Below are 21,896 nucleotides of genomic sequence, written 5' to 3'. Positions count from 1 at the left end.
TTGTGCAAATATCAAAATTGTTAATAGATGCTTATTTTCGGAAAATATCTATGTTATCTTCTCATATATCCTAGTGATATAATGTAAAAACTCCTTTAAAGATTAATTTGTTGATTGCATTAAATGCATTTTGGAGGTGTATGATTTCCCGTTTGTTTAAAAGGATTTACCTGACAAAAGCACTTTTGCAGAGGCTGTCAACCATAAATATTGATGAAGTGACATCGCATGTTGGATATTGCACCAGATTTGGAGGAGACTCAGAAATGAGAAAAAAGGTAATCTGTGCCCTTTAGGAGCCTGTGTGTAATGAATAACCCCACCCTTTTTCAAGAGGCAATGGAAATTTCAGTCACACTTTCCCTAGACTTCTGTTCTTCCTTAAATGTTTATTTATAACTTACTAATTTTACCAGCTTTATGGTAGATTAGAAGGGAACAACTGAAACATGAAACTTGGTCCTTGTTTTCAAAGATGCTACTAGGGAGCTGGTGCAGGGTAGCAGTTAGGAGAAGATTCTGTGAGGTCACACCCCTGGGTTCAATTCTGGCCCTTGGCTTCCATGGTTGTGTGACCTTAGGCTAGCTCTTTAAAATATTGTGCCTAAATTTCCTTATCTGTTAAGTTGAACCTATGTAGCCCCATGTAGGATTGTTGTAAGGATTACATTTACATTTAGAATTACATTTAGAAATAGTAAATGTAGATTGCATGGCTTATGAGAAGCATCTCAATTTGGGTTTGAGACGTGGAAATACGTAGACAATAATGTAAGAGGTCATATAAGTAATGCTTATTATACTTTAATAAGCATTTTTAAAAATTACAGACAACAGAGTATAGAAAGCAAGAACAGAGATATAGATAGGTATAAGCATGATTTTTTTTTTAAATTACAGACAATAACGTATAGAAAGTAAGGTCAGAGAGATATAGGATTGAGTCCTGTGTCCATCTATGTGAATGTAGGCAGGTTACTTAAATGTTATGGGGCCTTGATTACTCCTAATTAACATCTGGATAATATAGTACTTGTCTCATAGGACTGTATAAGAATAAAATGAAATAATGTGTGTGTCAAGCTCTTGGCACGGTGTTTGGCATTCAGTAGAACGCATGACATTTTTGTGGTTTTGTTTTGTTTTTTTTGTTTAGTAATATCATTGGGCAATGAACGAGATTCATAAGGAAGGAGGAGGCCAAAAAATGGCTTCATGGATATATTAGTTTCCTATGACTGCCAAAATAAAGTGTCACACACTGAATGGCTTAGAACAACAGAAATGCATTGTTTCACAGTTACAGAGACCTGAAATCTGAAGCTAAGGTGTCAGTAGGGCCAGGCTCCCGCTGGAGATATTAGAAAGAGGTCTGTTCCAGGCCTCTCTCTTAGCTTCTGGTAGTTACTTGGCTTGTGGCAGAGTAACTTGGATATTTTCATGGTGTTCTCCCTGTGTGAGGTTGTGATTTTATGAAGGGCAACAGCCTCACTGGATTAGGGGCCCACTTTACTCCAGTATTCCTTAGCTAATCTTAACTAATTACATATTTCCAAATAAGGTCACATTCTGAGATACTTGAGGAGAAGGGGTAGGAATCCAGCATATGAATTTGGGGGGATACAATTCAATCCACAACAGATGGTGGGAGACTAATCCTGGAAAGATACGTACAAATGGGGGAAAAAAAAGTAGGACAGCCTTCTAGATCAGGGAGTGCCATCAGCTAAAACATAAGTTAACAAGATACCAAGGGCAAGTAAGGAGATAAAAGGGTTTGTATTCACAAGTGAAGGGATATAAGAATGGGGAGACTGTTCAGGTCAGACCTGGCGTGATGCAATATATAATGGCAAGTTCCGGTAAATCAGTGAAGCATCAGACTAGACACTGGCTATGCCAATGCAACTGGCCTGAAAACAGTTTAGAACATATTCAAAAAATTTAAAGGTGAAGTGAAGAAGTTCAGGCAGAAGAGTCTGAAACTCAAATGGTACATTCATTGCCCAGGGTGTATACATTCAACACACAGGAACTATTATAAACTATAGATGGAAAGGAATCGTGATTTGAAATCAGACCAGGAAAGCTGTGTTAAGTGCTGATTGCACATAAGAATATCAAATGTTCTCTTATTCCAGAAAAATATAGGATGACGAGTACTAGATTCAGAGGAAGTGTGACTAATCCTCCTTCCTCTTGACTGTAGTTTCTTTATTTGTTAAATAAGATATTAACATTTATTCTCATAAAAGGCTGTTGTGAGAATTGGACAATTGAATAATGTTGTTTCAGGTAAAGCTCTTACATAATAGGTGCACTAAAAAATTTGAGTGATTGTTATTCTAATTATCTTGCTGATTTGATTATTCTTAAATAAGGAAGAGAACTGTAAAATAATTGGCAATAACATCTTAGATTTTTCACGTGATCATTTTTCATTTTTTTCTCCTTCCCAGTGTTTTTTCCATATTGTTTCATCTTAAATGTTCCTTCTTTTTCTATATTTGTTCTTTTTACTCTTGTCTTTTTCTTTTTATTTTCTCAAATCTATATTATTTTCATTCTGAAGTATTTAGATAAATCCTAAAAAGAGAGTGAGAAAATTCTTGGCAATATCAGGAGAAGGCAAAGATCTGGGCGTATTTAAAGCCTGTAAACTATAATTTGCACCTTTGTTAATTCATAATATATACAGGTTTCCAAGAATCGCAATACAGTGCATATACATTTGAATTTTAAGCCTTTTTCAGGCATCTTTGGTTCCATTTGTTTAAATTATGCACTGTGTTATGTAGGCATGCTGAGAGATTAAGCCTGGGAATTGCTTATACTGTTATTTTGTTTTTCTTTCTGTTAATCCTGCCCTCTGTATCTATTATTATTGTTATTATTTTCTTCTTCTGTTATCTCTTGTAGCCCTTAGCATGACATCTGTTTTCACTCATTAATATACGTGCTCCAAAGATTCTTTTCCAAAGCTGATGTTTTAGTTTAAAATTGTGTATTGTATTTCTTTTTTCCTGTGTTAATTTCTTTGTTTTTCACATGTTTTCACAATGTACTCTAGATTGTGTTCTAAACCTTGAATCTGTAACAGCAAATCTAACCTAGTCACTGAACTTGAGGTTCACATTTGGTAGGGATACAGCTGTATAGACAGGTAAATCACAATTTTGTGTAATCAGGGCTGAAGTAAACAAATAAACAGGCATCTGTAAGTGGATGTGGGAATACTTTGAGGTAGTTGATAGGTGGGCTGGATTCTGAGGGGTTGAGTAGAAGCTTTCCAGGAAGCGAGCCTGCATGCCTTCTAGCTTATGTTTTTGGGGTTTTTTTCTTGGCTTTCATTCAACTTGTAATTCATCTTGGAGGCTTAGTTGCTTCTGTAACTAAAATACTTGCCAAGTTTTCCTGGGTCTGAGATCCTTCTTAGCAGATATTTGACTGCCAGCCTCAAACTAGATTACAACAAGCCACAATTTCTTGTGGATAATTCATCTCCCTGCATCCACTGTGACTCTCCTCATCGCTAGTTTACATGTCTCAGGCACCCTCAAATCTGTGTGTTTATAATTTTCTCTTATACTTCTATTCAAGACAAGATCCTCTGGGCAGTTAATGTAGCAAATAATACAAATGAAAGGACTAATTTTCCGTAAATAATCTTCACGCTTTCTTTTAGTGTGAAATAAAAAAAAAAATATTGCCTACTATAAGCAAGACAATTAAGTCTGCCTAATTCAACATAAGATGAGATATGAAAAAAGGGAATTGAAATGTGCAAGAAAAACAAATTAAGGCAGACTATGTCATAAAATAATGTACAACCTAGTTGGAGCAAGAATAACAATAACCAAGAATGATCCCTGGTAGACCATTATTTTGTCACCTCTCATTTACCATAATATCATGGGATGTTGGATAGTACATAGCCACATCTAAAATATGTATGCCATGATGTCAAGATATATTTGAGTGAGTAATACTTTGAAAACTTAAATGGTACAAAAGTGTAAATACGATGAAAATTCTTCCACTCATCTCATTCAATAGTTACCAATGCTCCTCTTTATAGCAACTAATTTAGCAATTTCGTGTTTACTCTCCTAGGGATATTTTGCATATACATACTAAAATATTCCTTAATTTCCTCTTATATAAGTGTTAGTTTACATGCAAATACATGATAACATGCTATTCACACAAGTGCTTTCTTTTCAGGTAATGCAATATTCTGAAATTTGTTTCACATCTACAAAATACTTCCTTATTTTTACAATTCATATTTCATTGTATGTGGATTTATCTCATAATGCATTTAATCACCCCTGTAAATGGACATATAGACTATTTTTAAATGTTGTCCTACTAAAAACAGGGCCATGTAGCAAGAACACCCGGGGCCTGGGATCTTCATTAATAACATCACTCTCTAATAAGAGAAACTGGGGTTCCTTGAAGAAATGGCTGATTCTAGAGCTGAGGCAAGAAATACAGAAGATGAGCTTGAAGGATCCGGTAATGTCCAGAGTGCTCAAAAAATAAAATAATTGGGGTCATATCAAAGGGACACAGTAGTAAAACTAAAAGATTTCCCAATGGCCAAAACTGTGACAAATTGAACAATAAAAACCATTATGTAGTGTTGGACTATAAAACATAAAACCTAGCAAAATACTAACTTGGCCAGGTACTCAAAATAAGCACCATAAATGTTCTATGCATAAATGTTCAACACAAAATTATAACTCGAGTCTAACCAAGAGAAAAACATCAGAAAATATGGTTTATAATGCAAAATATACAAATTATACAATAAATATTTATGAATCATACAAATAAAAATAAATGAATAAATAAGTCATATTTATTTAAGATACATCTTAAAATAAAAGATGCATAGAGATACATCTTTTATAAAGAAGAAAATAAAGATACATCTCTTAGAGATAATTCTGTACCTCGATGAGATGGGGCTATATTTTCTACTACTTGAGTGTGAGCTAATCTTAGTGGTATGGTTCCGAAGAGCAGTGTATGGAATGGAGGGGAAGAAAGTAGCTTTATAGTGAGGCAAACACTAACTTGGCCTGGTGCTCAAAGTGAACATCATAAATGTTCTATGCATAAAGGTTCAACACAAAATCCATTACCCCAGTCTAACCATGAGAAAGACATCAAAAACAAAACAAGCTGAGGGTCTTACTACAAATATCTGACCACTGCTTAAAACAACCAAGGTCATGAAAAACAAGGGGAATCAGAGAAAGCATCATGAACAAGAGGAACCTAAGGAGACACAATGATTACATGCAATGTGGCATCTTCAATGGGATCCTGAAACAGAAAAATGACGTTTGAACTAGTAAAATCTGAAGAGAGTGTAGTATCTAGTTAATGGCAGTGTGCTAATGTTTCCTTGGTTGTGGCCAATGTATTCTAATAATATGAAGATATTAACAATGGAGAAAACTGGCTGTGGGGTATACAGAAACCCTTTGCACAATCTTTTAAATTTTCTGTAAACCTAAAGCTACTGCAAAATGAAAAAGTTCATTTTTAAAAAGTATGTAATAAATAACCTTGTACATGGGCCACTGTGGACATATGATGCTATAATTTGTAAGAGAGATTTATTAAGCAGAATAGTTGTGACAGACAGTTTATGTTAAACCTGCTATCATCTTTGACTCCTTTATTTGTTTTATCCCTTATATCCAGTCACTTAAAAAAATCCTGACAATTACTGTCACCTTTACCACCACTCTTGTGGTGCTTGCTTACGTTACGGCGATAGCCTTTAAATGATCCCCTGCTTTTACCTATGACCGCTACTACATAGTCTCTTCTAAAAGCCAGAATGATACTTCTAAAATAGATGAATAGATGTTGTCACCCCATACTAAGAAGCTTTGAATAGCTTCATGTCTGCCTTACAGTAAAAGCCAAAATCCTTGCAAAGGCCCTTCGCACTCTGCCCTCCTTTATCAGCATGAATTCTTTCTTTTCTATCTTTCACATTCTATCTTTCACAACACTCACTCTGATCCAACCACTTTGCCCACTACTGTTGTGAACAAACGAGGAAAGCTTCAGCCTCAGGATCTTTGCACCGTACTGTTCCTACTGCCTATAAATCTTTCTCCTTCATATTTACACATGCCTCAGTCCCTCAGCTTATGCAAGTATTAGCTTAAATATGATCTTCTCAGTGAGACCTTCCCTAACCACGAGTGGTGGTTATGCACAAGGAGATGACGGCTTTGTATAATTCCTTCTCTTGATTGTGGGTGGAAACTGATCGGCTTCTAACCAGTAGAATGTGGCAAAGGAGATGAATTATCCCTCCTGTTATTCTGTTATATTATAGAATGAGAGTAAAGGGATTTTGTGGATGTAATTAAGGTCCCTAATCAGTTGAATTATTAGCAGCCAAAAATGGGGATTATCTTATATGGGTCTGAATTAATCAGGTGACTCTTTCAAAATGCAGCCTGGGCCTTCTCTAAAGTCAGAGATTCTAAGAAGCAGAGATTCTCTGTCTCTCTGCATTGCTGGCTTTGGAGAAGTAAGCTACTACGAATTCTATAGCAGCAAGAAAAATCATTTGGCAACAATATGAGGAAGCTTGGAAATGGATTCTTACCCAGCTAAGCCTTAAGCTAATGCTGAAGCCCAGCCAAAAACTTGGTTTCAGACTATTGAGATCTTGAGCAGAAAACCCAGTTAAACTGTGCCTGGAGTCCTTATACACGGAAACTGTGAGATAATAAACAGGTGTTGTTTTAAGCCAGTAAGTTTATGGTAAATTGTTACATGGCAATAGGAAATGAATTAATGCCTTTATTTAACATTTCAAGGTTATGTTCCATTGCATCTGTATTTTGTTCCTTTGCCTTATTTCTCCCCTTAGTATTTACTACCACAATCGAGGGTTGTTTTTACCTTACAGATTTGTTGTGAAGATTAAATGAAGTAATGCATATAAAAAGCCAAGGCAGTTCCTAGCATTTAATAAATGTGCAGGATATGTATTTCTTTTGTTTTGTTTTTCTATGTGTAAAAATGCTTTATGAAAATAATAACTTTACTAATGAAAAGTATTATTTGGGACATTTATTGATTCTTATTCTAGTCAATAATATAATATGTAATATAATACAATCTGTCATACCCTAAGATTAGAAAATATTTTACCCAAATACTATTTTCCTTAAGTACAAAAATGCATTTAGAATGAGTTTTAAAGGAAGAGTTTCCATTTAAATTTAATGTGATGCAGCCACATGTTTTCTTGCTGGCAATATCTTATTTCATTTTTAGCTTTCACCTAATTCCTTATACTTTATTTTGTGGATTCATTACTATGCAAATACATATGCACTATATTCAAATACATGCTTTGAGGATTATATTACATTATATCATTTCACAATTAAACAGCTTGTATCCAGTTCTCTCAAGTTACAAATGTTTTATATAAGTTGGTTCAAGTTACCAAGTCAAAACAATAAGTGAGATCTTTCATTTGAACTATGAAAACACTAAAATGATTCTCCACAGGTATTAATGATAAAAAGTTTGCTAAAAATCACTTTCATTACTAAAATATATATATATTGGCTATTGGTTTATTTTAAAATACAACTTATAAGAAAAATGTGCCAGGTGCTGTGACTCAAGCCTGTAATCCCAGCACTTTGGGAGGCCGAGGTGGGTGAACCACTTGAGTTCAGGAGTTCAAGATCATCTTGGCCAACATAGCGAAACCCCGTCTCTACTAAAAATACAAAAATTAGCTGGGCATGGTGGTGTGCACCTGTAATCCCAGCTGCTTGGGAGGTTGAGGCAGGAGAATTGCCTGAACTTGGGAAACAGAGGTTGCAGTGAGCGGAGATCACACCACTGCACTCCAACCTGGGCGACAGAGTGAGACTCCGTCTCAAACAAAGAAAGAAAACCTATTTCCCTATGTTTATAAAGATCAATTCATTATGATTGTTCTCATTTTCAGTCAATAAATCATCTAAAATTCTCATTTCCTTTCTTCACCCTGGCGTTGTCTATGTGCCATTTTTATTATTTGATAATATCTCCAGTTTATGTAAAATAAAAAGAAACTGAAGTGATAAGAAATAATGTTAAAAGCTGTTTTAAAATGTTACTTTTATTAGAGTTCATAAAACGTTGCAGGAGAAAGAGCTAAAACAAATTATTGTCAAGGCTTTTAATTACTGTGATCATCTTTCACGGCTAAGAATAAAAAGATGCTGGGAAAAAATAAACAGCTATTTGACCACTCATTCTGAGGCAAAAATTAAGGTATTTCACCTTTGTTCAGAAGATTTCAAATACTAAAAACCAGCATATTAAGATTTATCAGATACTTCAAAGCTTATTAGAATAGAATGGAACAGCATACTTGGTATCAGAGTATTTAAATCATATGGTGTGATATGGTTTGGCTCTGTGTCTCCTCCCCCTCCCAAATGTCACCTTGAATTGTAATAATTGTTATGTGTCAAGGGTGGCACCAGGTGGAGATAATTGAATCATGAGGGCAATTTCCCCCATGCCGTTCTCATGGTAGTGAGTGAGTTCTCAAGAGAGCTGATGGTTTTATAGGGGGTTTCCTCCTTAGTTCGGCAATCATTCCCTCTCCTACTGCCCTTCTGCCATGGCAGAAGAGGTGCCTTCTGCCATGACTGTAAGTTTCCTGAGGCCTCCCCAGCCATGTGGAACTGTGAGTCAATTAAACCTGTTTTCTTTATGAATTACCCAGTCTTGGGTATTTCTTCATAGCAGCATGAGAATGGACTAATACATGGTGTCATTTGCTAAACCGTAATTAAGTAAATGTTATGAAGAACTTTCAACTGCATATTTTCTTGACAACATATTTGAAATTGATCCTTTGAATTTTACCGGTATGAAAAAGCACACCCATAAATTTTTAAATATTTAAAAGGCTCACTGAATGAACTTTGTTTTATTGACTCACATTGCCAGTACCTAGAACAGCATCTGGAACATACTAAGTGCCCATTAAGTATTTGTGTAATTGAATGAATGAATAGGTGGTAGCCAAGTCAACAAGACTTAACGCCTACCATGGGAAAGTGACTCCTTTACCAGTTGAAGCTGAGTCTGCGCCATACTAACAGGCATCATGTTTTGGCGGAAATTCATACCTCATCTCAGCTAATGGTGGTAAGCTCATCTTTTATTCCCAATAAATAATACTGGGAGGGTATTTTTTAAATTTACCCATAAAACGTTATATTCCAGGGCATAAGAATATCTAAAAACCCAACGGAGATGTCCCCACCTATCATTGATATGTTCCCTCTTTTTGACTTTCTTTTCTTGTGTACACACATAGTACAGCTGCCATTTATACGACTAACCTGTAGTTACATTTTCCATATGCTAAGTAGTGAGCTAAGTACTTTAAAACTTGTTATCTTACTTCATGTTCCAGCTTAATGTGGAGCTTACTTGTATACAATATAAATAAAAACCCTTTAAATTATTACATAAATTGGTAATTTTACACATGCTACATTTTATGTATGTATGTTTTGGGAATGGATATTAACACATGCCTGGAAAATTTAAGGAGGTTGGTAGGTGCTGAATTATGCCCTCCATCAAAATCATGGGTTGAAGCCCTAACTTCTAGACCTCAGAATGCGACATATTTGGAGACAGGGTTTTCACAGAGGCAACTGAGTTAAAATGAAGTCACTGAGGTGGGCCCTACTCCAATATGACTGGTGTTCTTAAAAGAAGAGGAAATTTGGACACAGACATGTAGGAGGAAGATGATCTGAAGAGGTAGAGAGAAGATGGCCATTGAAGCCAAGGAGAGAAGCCTAGAACAGATCCCTTCTTCATAGCCCCCGGAAAGAACCAGCCCTGCCAACACTTGGATGTGGAACTCCTAGCTTCTAGATCTGGCAAGGAAATAAATGTCTGTTGCTTAAGACATCCAGCAAACTAATGTTATGGTGTTATGGTGGCCCTAGCAAACTAATACAGAAGTGGAAAAATGGGTCACTCTATTATATACGTGACTCTAGTATTTAACCTTCTCTTTTTCTTAAATAACTTTCTTTCCTTTTAATAGTTGTTTGTAATCTATACAAGAGGACTGATAACAATAGTCCCAGAATAAGGACGTTTAGCTCATATAATGCTCGTTGTTCGTTTGTGGGATTTTCCTTTCTGTTTGTCTTCTGCTCAGCTACTGGCAGATCTACGCAATGGTAATTTGATGGCAACCGCTTGTACATATAGTAAGTGATATTATCAAGTCTGCAATAAAATAACAAAGTATTTTCCTGATGTAATACAAATTTTTGGATATAAGGACATTGTTAATACAATAGGAGAACCGTTAGAACATACAATAGCTTGGCTTTATTAACAGCCATGATCATGTTAGCAATTTTGATCTAATTTAAGTGATGTCCCCATTATAGTGGTAAATTGTGTTTTCATTAATACAGTGAGAAAGCCATTAATATGAAAATTGCTCGTTCAGAATTACATTAGTGAAGTGCTTATCCTATTATCACTAAACTGATTCTAAGCTAGGTGCTAAGCAATTTGAGTCGAAGCATCCTACATCAAAGGAGTCAACATCTTTCTTAGAAGGTCCTCACTGGCTTTCTTATAATTTTTTGACACTGCTTACTGTGTTATCAATAAAAGTTACATAAATTAATATCACACCATTATTAGTTTATTTATGATCCTATGCATTTTATCTAACGACACATATATCCTACAACTTTACATTTGGATACCCTAATTACTCCCAGCATCTCTCCAGAATATTAATAAATAGTGTGTATAAATTTGGTTGTAAGCAACAGAATCTAACCCCACCATCTTATGCAAAGAAACATATTTAAAGGCAATCACGGATTTCACAGAATAAATAGGGGGAAACTGGCTTGGGGATAGGAAACAAGAGATTTCTGGAAGTCTCCAGGAGGGAGGCCAGGGCAATGATCTTCCTAGCAACAATGATTGGGTCAGTTAGCATCGTCAGAATGAATGATCCTCCATCTTTACATCTGCTTTTATGTCAAGCCTCAAACCTTGAGTCCTGTGGAGATCCTCTGATGGACTCAGCTTAGGTTCTGTGCCTGGCTACTTGCTGTGCTGAAGTAATAGTAATACTTTAGGATCCATCCTATAAGATCATACAAAATGAGTGAGAGGAAATTATCCCCCACCAATAATTGGGTGCAATAAAGAAGGATGTAACGGGACTGTTAGTCAATAAAATAAAGGATTCCACTACAATCAGGAAATACATGTTGAGTACTCTACCTCATAAGGAAATTGTGGTAGGCATTATTCCGTTTACAATTACCTGGCTCTCCTAAATGGTTATCCTTTGGAATCATGACCGTGAGAGTTGCTTTGGCCAATGATATGTGACCAAAAGTGATGCGTGTTTCTTATCTCTATTTAAGTTTTTAATTATTGGTGCTCAAATCCTCAATTCTCCCTACCATCATAACCAGCAACCTTCCAGATGGTGGAGCCTCTGTCAGTTGGAGTCCCAGAATGCAGCAATCTAAAGCAGAAGCCATCACTAAAAGGCAGCAACGTGTGACAGAAACAAGAAATAAACATTGTCTGTGCCACAGAAATGTTGTGGGTTTTGTTACCACACATCTCCTGCCCAACAGAGACGTATGTGGTGTAGTAGAAGGAGCATAATCACTGTTAAAAGGTAAGCTCCAATTCTTTTTGAATATATGATTTTGGGATATAAATAACATATTTTATGTATCACTTTATGTATCACTTTTCTCATTTGTAAAATGGAAGAATATATACCAGCAGCACAGGTATGTTATAATATCCCCTAGAGCCTATAGCTTAGGAAGAAAAGAAGGCTAAAGTCAGAACACTTAGAAATACCAGTATGTAAAGTAAATATAGAAAAAAGTATGGCGACTGAAGGTCAGCAACTAGGGAGTTAAGAGGAGAACTAGAAGAGAGTACAGTGATAGAATAGGAAGAGAGACTGAAATACTATAGAAAGGCCGGGCATGGTGGCTCACGCCAGTAATCCCAGCATTTGGGGAGGGTAAGGTGGGTGGATCACGAGGTTAGGAGATCAAGACCATCCTGGCCAACGTGGTAAAACCCCGTTTCTACTAAAAATACAAAAATTAGCCGGGCATGGCGGTGCACACCTGTAGTTGCAGCTACTCGGGAGCTGAAGCAGGACAATTGCTTGAACCTGGAGGCATAGACTGCAGTGAGCCGAGATCGCGTCACTGCACTCCAGCCTGGGCAACAGAGTGAGACTGTCAAAAAATAAAAATAAAAATAAAAAAACCTATAGAAAGAGGAAAGAGCAGCAAGGAATGTGTAATATTTCCACTATATTGACAATGAGTAGATAATCAATGACTTTTTCAATAGCAAATTACTTCATATTTATTTCAAGAGGATAAGAGGCTTTATACTTTATATTAAAATATTAAGAGCTAAGAAAACCATTAAAACAGAGAAAATAGAAGATATGCACAGGGGCAGGGAGCGGGGGAAAAAGCATACAAAAGAATGATAGACAGCTGAGACAATAACGGATTAACATTTATGAGTATCTTGACAATCATGTTTAAAGGAAACATGATGTATTAAGAGAAAGCATATAAGTTAAATGAGATAAACTTTGTGAAACTATTTTCACATTGATCTCTACCAAAGGAAATCTTGATATACCTGAAGGATGGTGACCTTCTAAAAACATTTTTCTCATAAGACCCTTCCTGCCATTGTTTTTGAGAAAATTTGCAGGTCAAATGGAAATCAGCATTCTGTGATAGCATTTCAGTGAGGAGTAATAGAATTAATTATATTACTAAGGTTCCAATTATTGGCAAATCTAAAAATGTTTCGAATTAAGTATGCTATAAACTAAGATAGGCTTGACATTAAATTTTTTTTAAAGTTCCTTTCTCTCTATCTCCAGAATGAATCGCGATGTATCTTGTTTTGGTCAGATAACTTGGTTGTTCTGAAAATAATGCATAGATTTCTCACCCCAAAACTTGTGCTAAAAATTTCACAAACCTTCAGATATATAGTATCTTACCCCACAGTTTTGAGGTATGTTTAAAAAAATCATTTGGATGTAAGTCAGCCTCACTGCAAAAGGCACAGTTTTTATGGTATCATGCTACTTTTTTGGGGCTAAGAATTTTATTTTGAGATCTTCTCTGATAAGTTTGAGAACACTACCTTTTGTTACTCATTTTCTTCATTTCTAAAATGAGAAAGAAATTCCAATCTCTATTGAATACAAGATAAAGCACATTCCTGGAGCATAAATTGCCCAGTTCTGAAGATTATAAATTGAATCATAACAATCTACAGTCGTACGTCACTTAACCAAAGGGGCTACACTCGGAGAAATGTGTTGCTTGGTAATTTTGTCATTGTGCGAACATTATAGAGTGAAGTTACGCAAATTGAAATGGCATAGCCTACTTACTATACATGTAGGGTATACGGTGTAGACTATTGCTCCTAGGCTCCAAACCAGTACAGCACGTTACTCTACTGAAAACTACAGGCAGCTGTAACACAATGGTAAGTATTTGTGTATCTAAACATAGTTACACATAAAAATACAGTAAATATATTTACCATATTTAAATATATTTATGTAATATATAGTTATAATCTTATGGGACCATCATCATATATGTAGCCTGTTGACTGAAACATGTGGCACATGACTATGCATTAGGCTGCCTATAACTTCCTATGCTTTGTGTTCCTTAAAAAAGAAGAGAGGAAAAGTTTATAATTGCTTGTGATTGTCCTATACTTTCTTTGAAGCCAAAAAAGTTATTTTTTTACACCTCAGTGCAAAGTTTCTCCTCCCCCTTAGCCCATTTATGACTAGTGTTCCATTATTGGAACGCTAAGCAAGTGGAACTTATTTATATCCTACTGCTCAAGGTCATCGCCAAGGTCTGATTGCAGAAATCCAAAAATTGCAACCACAGGCATAAATAGTTAATGGATTTAGCTTTGGATTGAAATCTTACAGTTGTGTGTGTGTGTCTCCGTGTGTGTGTGTATGTGTGTGTGTTGCACTGATCTCATAGCTGTACAACAATACAATTTATGAAAATGAAAAAAAGGAAATAGGTACTTTCTACTTTCTAACAGAGCCTATGTAAGTTAGGTTCAATGTGATCTTCTGTGCTTATTTTTCCCCACATAGATTGGAGTTCTTTCATCTTTTTTTATGATGTGTACACACATTCCATGCTATGGAATGAGGTTGATCCAAGCAACCTATTAATACACATACTGTGTTTTCAGTGCAGGCATTGTAAGAAGGCAGAGTTTCAACTTGGGACCTTGCCCAGGATCGTGTTTGGGTTGGGGCCAATCACTATGACAAGCCTTCGGAGTTTATTGCTGATCACTGAAGGAAATGGTCACATAGACCTCTGGGAGCTCAAGATTTTCCCTTCTCTTTTAGGGGACATATGTGTCATCTGAGTCACAGAAATACGATGTACATAAACTACAGATCAGGGAAGGCTTTGTTCAGAAAGAGTGAGTGTGAATCAGCATAGCATTCTAGACTACCACACAGGTCATTCTCTTCTTCTTGCTCTCTGGATTGCCTCCAAAAATATTTTTAATGAGATTTTCATTGAATTTCAAATCAATATGCCAACCTAAAGAGAGAGCAGGGACCAGAAAAATGAAGGTAATAGAATTACAAAGTGGAAAGTATAATGGTCACTGGCCGTTAAAATATGTTTTATTATTGTTTATTTCTTTTTTCAGGAGGCAGAAGATATGATGTTTGTCTTTATCTTGAAATTGAAGTAAAATATTAACAAAGTGTTTTGGGGTGGGGAGCATCTTACCAGTTAATGTTCTCCTCCCCACTAAAGGTTATTATCTTTTTCTATGGGTGATATGTTCATGTCTGATGTATTTTCCTCTATCTGTTTCTAGCTCTATTATTATCCCATTGTAAATGTTTTCCATCCAGTATTGAACCTATTATTCCTGAGAACAGGTATTTAAATCTCTGCTTATTTCAAGCATAGATATCTTTGGGCTTTTTTACTCCTCTGGGATTGTCTTTCCAACTTCCTAAAAAATGGAAATTCAGCAGCCTCTGTTCTTTTTGGTCCTATAGCAGATAATTACCTACAGAACTAGTTACTGGAAACAAGTTATGGTTCACAAGCTATTAAACTTCAGCCTGAGGTTTCTTGACAGTTTCCTTCCAGATTTCTGAGAGCGAAGTTTGCCTAAGTTTATTGTAACTCTTCTGCTATTGTCTACTGGAAAAAGTTCATTGTTCTACTACAGAATATGTTATTGGATGGTTTTTCAGAGATACAAGCTGCCTTTGTCAATTTCTTTCATTGAGTATCTGCTCATTACCCACAGAGGCCAAGTTGCAGAACTACAGAAAAACACAGAATACTTAAATAAGGTTTGTTGGATAGGGAAAAATGCAAACATATTTCCCTTCAGGATTGGAAAATAATGTTTATTCAAATGTGTGTGATTATGTATTTGGGTGTCTGCTCACTGCAGCTCTTTAGGTAGATACACTCATTTAAAGACACAGCATGTCTTTGTGCAGACCAACTTCTGAACTTTCCAACTTAAATTATGTCATTTGCAAGCTTTTCTCATCATAGACTTTGTTTTTTATGCCCTATTATGTCTCCTGTTGCTTTTTATGATTCCATATATCGTCATGTATTTTGGTTACCCACATAGTGTCAGAATCAGGTCCAGAAGTAAGAAAGAATTTGAATGCAATAAGTCCCTTTGGAGGTAATCCCAAGAGAAATGGCATGAAGAGTGGGAGAGTGGAAAATTGAGATGTTAGAAGGAAAGCAGCCAAAAAGGATGAGTTAAAGAGCTGCTTACTGTGTTGTTGACAACTGGACTGAAGACTGCTGGGGACTTATGGTGGATGCTATAGAACTTGCCTCAGAGCTTTCCCACTCCAAGAGTGAGCAAGCGGGGACATTTATTCTCTTCTTCCCTTCCATCCTTGGTTGGGGATTGCTTCCTGGGAGTCATTAACTCCTGACTTTAGGCCTACCAGTGTTTAAGCTGAGGCTGCCAGGGAAAGCCTATAGGTACAGAGCTGCAGGTACTTGCTGAAAGAGCCATCAGTGTCCATGGAAACAGTGAAAACCAAGGGAAATAAGTAAGATACAAAGGGCTTCACGATAGTTACCAACACTAGGATTCACTTTTCAACAGCTATGCCTTTTAAGTTTTGAGAGTAAAGAATAATGTGTCAACTACTGGTCTCACTTAGGATCAATCATTTTTACTGATTCTTAGGAGAATTTGATTTAAGTTATGGATACAACAGAGCTGGAACATTGGTATTTCCCACTTAGCCTAACAATGGGCAGTCTATGCAAGTATCTCAAATGGGCACCAACAGAATTCTGTGCTCAAAACCTCGTAGCTTTTCATCCATATGGTTTATTTTAGTAAAATAGCTTTGCTCCCACATTTTTAGAGCTCAATATTAGACGTTTCACTATTCTACCTGTCAATAATTTTGCTGTACTTTGCTCACTCTAGGGTATAACTAGAATATCAGTTAAGGTTCTTTTATTCTCAAATATTGGAAGATGCACTCTGAACTGGCTTAAGCAATAAGGAAATATTCTTTATTTAAAAACTAAAATATACTGGGAGAGTTCTAACATCAAGTGTAACTGTACCCAAGGACTTAATATCACTCAGCACCCATTGTATTAGTCCGCATGCTTTGCTGTCCTATCTTTTGGCTCTGTTCCCAGATAAACTGTCCACTTAAAATGCCACCAAGAGCCCCAAGCATTATACTCACAGCTCCGATTCAGCTAGAACAACAAAGAAAGCTTTATTCCCACCAGTAGTTCAAATAAAATCCTGGGCCTGACTCTCAGAAGTCCATTTGGGTAATTGGATTGCACTTTTATCCCCCTGAATTCCTGAATTAAACACTGTCACTGGGAAACAGGATGATCTAATTGTCTAGACCAGAGTCACGAGCCTATCCCAGGAGGGACTGAGTGCGTGTTGGGGGGAAAGTATTTTCTCAGAGAAGTGGGCAGTGGGGTGGAGTGTAGCTCTTCCAGAGGATTGTGGATTGAGGGAGCAGATGTTAATTTGAATTGTATTTTCCATCATTTGATTATTCAGATGAAAACAAGGGACTGTTAAAAAAGAAGATAGTATGGATTCTGACCACATTAAGTGTGTATCTCTGCAACATAGCATATTTTACTCTCCATGGATCCTACCACTGATTTGACTCTTTACCTGCTTTTTCTTTCCTACCTCTATTAATATTCTGACCAATGAGATGCTTTCCATCAAGCAACCCACTGAAGAACAACTCTGGCTTCTCAACACATCTCTATCATCAGTCTAGAAATGGTTCACACAGACTAAACCTCCCAGTGGGTTCTGTAGCCCATAACGGGTTTACACTTTTCCCAGATTGGAAGAATCCACTGGAGTTATTTCAAAACATGCCATTGTTAATAGATCTTTTTTAAAAAAGACTGATCATCTTATAACTACTAAGTCGTATCAAATTTAAACTAACCACAATAGGCTACCTCTCAAAGTGATACCTAAGCTCAAAAACTCTTCTTGGTCAAAATTGTCTTCCAGTGGGCTATGCATATTTAAAATGTAACTTTAAAAATGGATCATTTTTAAAAAATTATAAATAATTCTACAGAGTTTTCCAAATGATACATTTCTTGGATGGCTATCAGATAGGAATTACACCAAGGTCTTCATACGATCTACTATCATTAATCACCTTACCATTTAAGATTTATAGACTTGTCTCAAATTCCTATCCCACAAAATCTGGCAAGCTCAATGTCTGTTAAAACATTTAGAGTTTATTGGTGAGTATTCATTAAATTGCACCTCATTACTCTTTTTTGTGTTTCTGGGTAAATTTCTTATCTTTATTTTACATCTCATTTCTTGTTTATGACATCTCTGCTGGACACTGACCCAAGTTTTCCATTTCCCAAAGTGCCACTTACACGAGATTGAGGACACAGAAGACTTTTGCTGAGATTTCGGTCAGAGGTTTCTCAAACTTCAGCACACATTATAATCCTCTGGAGGGCTGGTTAAGATGATACAGAGCCCAAAGTTCCACATCCAGTAGGTCTGGGGAGGCTTCTGAGAATTTGCATTTCTAACAGGGCTTGCATCCCCTGAGGTTGTCGGTCAGAGGATGACACTTTGCTTTGAGGACCATTTGTTTACAGTGAAAAAGCAGCATGGTCAGGGGAGGGTTGCATTATTATGCAAATAACTTAAAATTGAAAGATAAGTGTCTTATTTTCAAAACATATTCAGCCATTTCCACCTTCAGGAATTCTTCAGTGGTTATATTCCAGGTAGAGTCTATGAGTTCTCCTTCCATTTCTTTCCCTCTTTTTTCTGGCTCCCTTACTCCTCTCTGAAGGCCTTACTTGGGAAATGCAAAACTCCTCTTAGTTTATTATATAGTACACTTGAGTTATTGTTGTCTCTTTGCTTCAAAACTCCTCAATTTCGGCCAAGTCTGTAGACTAGTTATTTTCTGACGTGCTTTGCTAAATGAAGACAGTTCTCTCTATTTATATATTTCTGCTACTGGTTCTTAAACTAAATTCTACTCTCTCAATTACATGTTGTATTCTGTTTCTTGAATTTAAGTCTTTATGTGAGTTTATAGGTGGTTTAGAAAACTTTTTATTGCATATATCATTTATTATATGGCTGTGATTATGATAATCATTGACTGAATGAATAAATATATAAATCGTTGATGTTACCTCTTAAGATTAACATTGGAGAATACAATCTTCTTTTTTTTTTTTTGGCAGAGTTTCGCTCTGTCTCCCAGGTTGGAGTGTAGTGGCAAAATCATAGCTCATTACAGTTTTGCACTCCTGGCCTCAAGTAATCCTCCTGCCTCAGCCTCCTGAGTAGCTAGGGCTACAGGCATGCGCCACCATACCCAGCTAATTTTTGATATTTTTTGAAGAGACAGGGTCTCACTATGTTGTCCAGGCTGGTCTTGAACTCCTGAACTCCCGGCCTCAAGCAATCCTCCTGCCTTGGCCTCCCAAAGCACTGAGATTATAGACACGAGCCACCACACTTAGCCTGTTATTTCCTGAGTATTAAGGCTGTCCTGATGAAAGGTAGGGTCACACTGTGGTTAAATCTAGGCTCCTGGCTTCAAGTCAAGCTCTGCAACTTTCTAGCTGTGTGAACCCTAAGAAAGTTACTGAACACCTCTGGATCTATTTTTTCTCCTATAGGATATGAATGATTATAGTTTCATTATAGGGTAATTGTGTAATTAAATACTATCATACATATAAAGCCTTTAAAGTAGTGGCTAGTACCTCATGAGTACTTATTAAATATCAGGTCCTCTTATCATGAGGAACTTGTATTTCTAACTAGTATCATTATCTCTGCTTCCACCTGGATCATTCAGCTTACTCTTTGCAGGATAACTATTAGTATGGCAGAAAAAAGATAGTCCTGCATTTAGGGAGAACTCCCTAAGGTCATGAAAACATATTATTTCATCAGAGTTATTAGAAGTTTCTTTCAAATTCTATTAACTGTCTCCTTATTCAACATGGAATTAGGAAAATTTCAGCACTAAAAAAATATATTTTAAAGTTGTATTTTGCTTCAAATTAGGGTTATGTCAAATGTCAATATTACTCTAAGAAAACCCTAAGATAAAATACAGCGAACTCTTACAACATATATTTTCTGCTGTAGGGGATAGCATTACAGGACATCACAGAATAATGATATTTCACTGTTGATTGTTCTTGAGGTAAGAAATACCTTTAAATAAATTGTATCAGAGCTAATTTGAAATGGTTTCAAGAGATCTTGTGCCACCTGGTATGTATATGTATGTGTGTATATGTGTATGTCATCAGTATAATCACTATTGCTGCTATAATCCCATTTCTCTATATAATGCAAGGAGCAGGTGGTGACCTGTAACTTTTACTCTAATTCTCAGTCAATTTGTTCATTTTCAATTTTGGTAGTTTCTGGAATAATGCATACTCATCCAAATCTCCTTGGTAACATATTTTTCCAAGGTAAAACAGCATTTCATTTTTTTCTTATCAAATGAAAATCTAGAAAAAAATATAAAACTTTGTTTGCATCATTCCAAGTTGTGACAGTCCTAATTTTAGGGATGAATGAGCAGTGAGATTATTGCTCTGGCTTATCTCTTCTTTCTCTCCTCTTTTTCCTGGGAATCACCTTCTTTTTTCACATATATACAGACATATAAAAATACATATGCAAACTATTTTATTGTCCTCTGAAGAAATGACATTGGTCCTTGGTAGTATTAGCAGTTTCCTTGTGATAGAGAAAGGAAATCAAAAGGTCTTATATTTGCATAAACTGAAGCTCAACTAATACATGTTCTGAACAGTTTGCTATAACAAAGCTTTCTGATCCCTTTTACTTCACTGACCTAATTTTTATACATGAAATAACTAAGAGGATGTTTGGTTTTGGTCAATTCTACTGTAAGTAAATGATGTAAAACCAGTAATCTTTTAATATCTTTAGAATCTCTAAATGTCTTCTGTTTTATTTCTGCAGACTGTGGCAAATTAAATAAGCCATTTCTTTCTTTTTCATAAAGAGTAGCACACTAGAAAAGGCTGTAGTGAGGGAAGGAGATTCTTGGTCGTGGAAGTATTGGATTGGTCCAGTATTTTTAAAGAAAATTACTCTTGCCAGGTGCGATGGCTCACGCCTGTAATCCCAGCACGCTGGGAGGCCGAGGCAGGCAGATCACTTGAGGCCAGGAGTTTGAGACCAGCCTGGGCAACATGGCAAAACCCCATCATCTCCACTAAAAATACTAAAAAAAAAAAAAAAAAAAAAAAAAAAAAAAAAAAAAAAAAAAAAAATTAGCTAGGCATGGTGGCACATGCATTGTAATCCCAGCTACTTTGGAGGCTGAGGCATGAGAATCTTTTGAACCCAGGAGGCAGACGTTGCAGTGAGCCCAGATTGTGTCATGCACTCCAGCCTGGGTGATACAGTGAGACTGTCTCAAAAAAAGAAAAAGAAAAAGAAAAAATATTACTCTTTTACAGAACTGATGATGATTAGAACCAGAAGAAATTAATCTTTTACAGAACTGATGATGATTCGAACAAGAAACCTGTTAATTGCTGGTAAATATTTGTGATTTCTGAAGCTGGAGAATTGTTCTCACAAAAGAAATCAGGCAAAATGTGCTTACCTTCCTTCCCCATTTCATTCATTCCCTCTTTCCTAACCAACTCTAAATGTAATCCTACACAGTAGCCCCCAACTGAGTCAGCTCATTCAGATGTCCAGAAACCATGCTGGCTCCCTTTTCAGTCCTCTTTTCTTTCAGCACAGGTAGAATGCCATTGGTATATCTTAGGGGAATTTTCCTTTCTGCTCTTCACCCTCATTACGCCTGCCATCTGGTTCATTTCTGCTTTGCTTCCTTTCAGCAGATGTGTTCCCACCTCCCCTCCCACACTGACCTGAATGAATCTCTAGTGGTTCAGCATACCCATGAGTCTGGACGGGGACAGGGACAGACAATGGGGCAATGCTAGCACTGTGAAGTCATACAGAGACGAAAAGAGATTTTCATATGTGTTTAAAGTAAGAAGACATATGTTTATACTTGTTCACAGACAGAAAATATTTATTTTCTTTTGGCTTTATGATGTCAACCTGGAAATAAAATCCCTGTATTTTGCCAGATGAAGGTCTTATTTTATAAAATCCAAATT

The 21,896-nt window shown here is 36.3% G+C and overlaps 3 annotated features.

The window, feature by feature from the left end:
• Positions 14,511-14,711: a silencer, noted in NCBI's record as "peak5567 fragment used in MPRA reporter construct". NCBI's record gives its function as "represses an SCP1 promoter by STARR-seq MPRAs in K562 erythroleukemia cells {active_cell/tissue: K562}" and the evidence as "EXISTENCE:reporter gene assay evidence [ECO:0000049][PMID:32103011]".
• Positions 15,992-16,536: an enhancer, noted in NCBI's record as "OCT4-NANOG hESC enhancer chr5:163616370-163616914 (GRCh37/hg19 assembly coordinates)". NCBI's record gives its function as "activates a minimal SCP1, AML or CMV promoter by ChIP-STARR-seq in primed H9 embryonic stem cells {active_cell/tissue: H9 hESC(primed)}" and the evidence as "EXISTENCE:reporter gene assay evidence [ECO:0000049][PMID:30033119]".
• Positions 21,195-21,696: an enhancer, noted in NCBI's record as "NANOG hESC enhancer chr5:163611210-163611711 (GRCh37/hg19 assembly coordinates)". NCBI's record gives its function as "activates a minimal SCP1, AML or CMV promoter by ChIP-STARR-seq in naive H9 embryonic stem cells {active_cell/tissue: H9 hESC(naive)}" and the evidence as "EXISTENCE:reporter gene assay evidence [ECO:0000049][PMID:30033119]".

Source organism: Homo sapiens, chromosome 5 (genome assembly GCF_000001405.40).
Source record: "Homo sapiens chromosome 5, GRCh38.p14 Primary Assembly".
In the NCBI taxonomy this organism is placed as follows: Eukaryota; Metazoa; Chordata; class Mammalia; order Primates; family Hominidae; genus Homo; species Homo sapiens.
The sequence above is the reverse complement of the archived record's forward strand: the minus strand, read 5'-3'. Positions and strand labels throughout refer to the sequence as shown.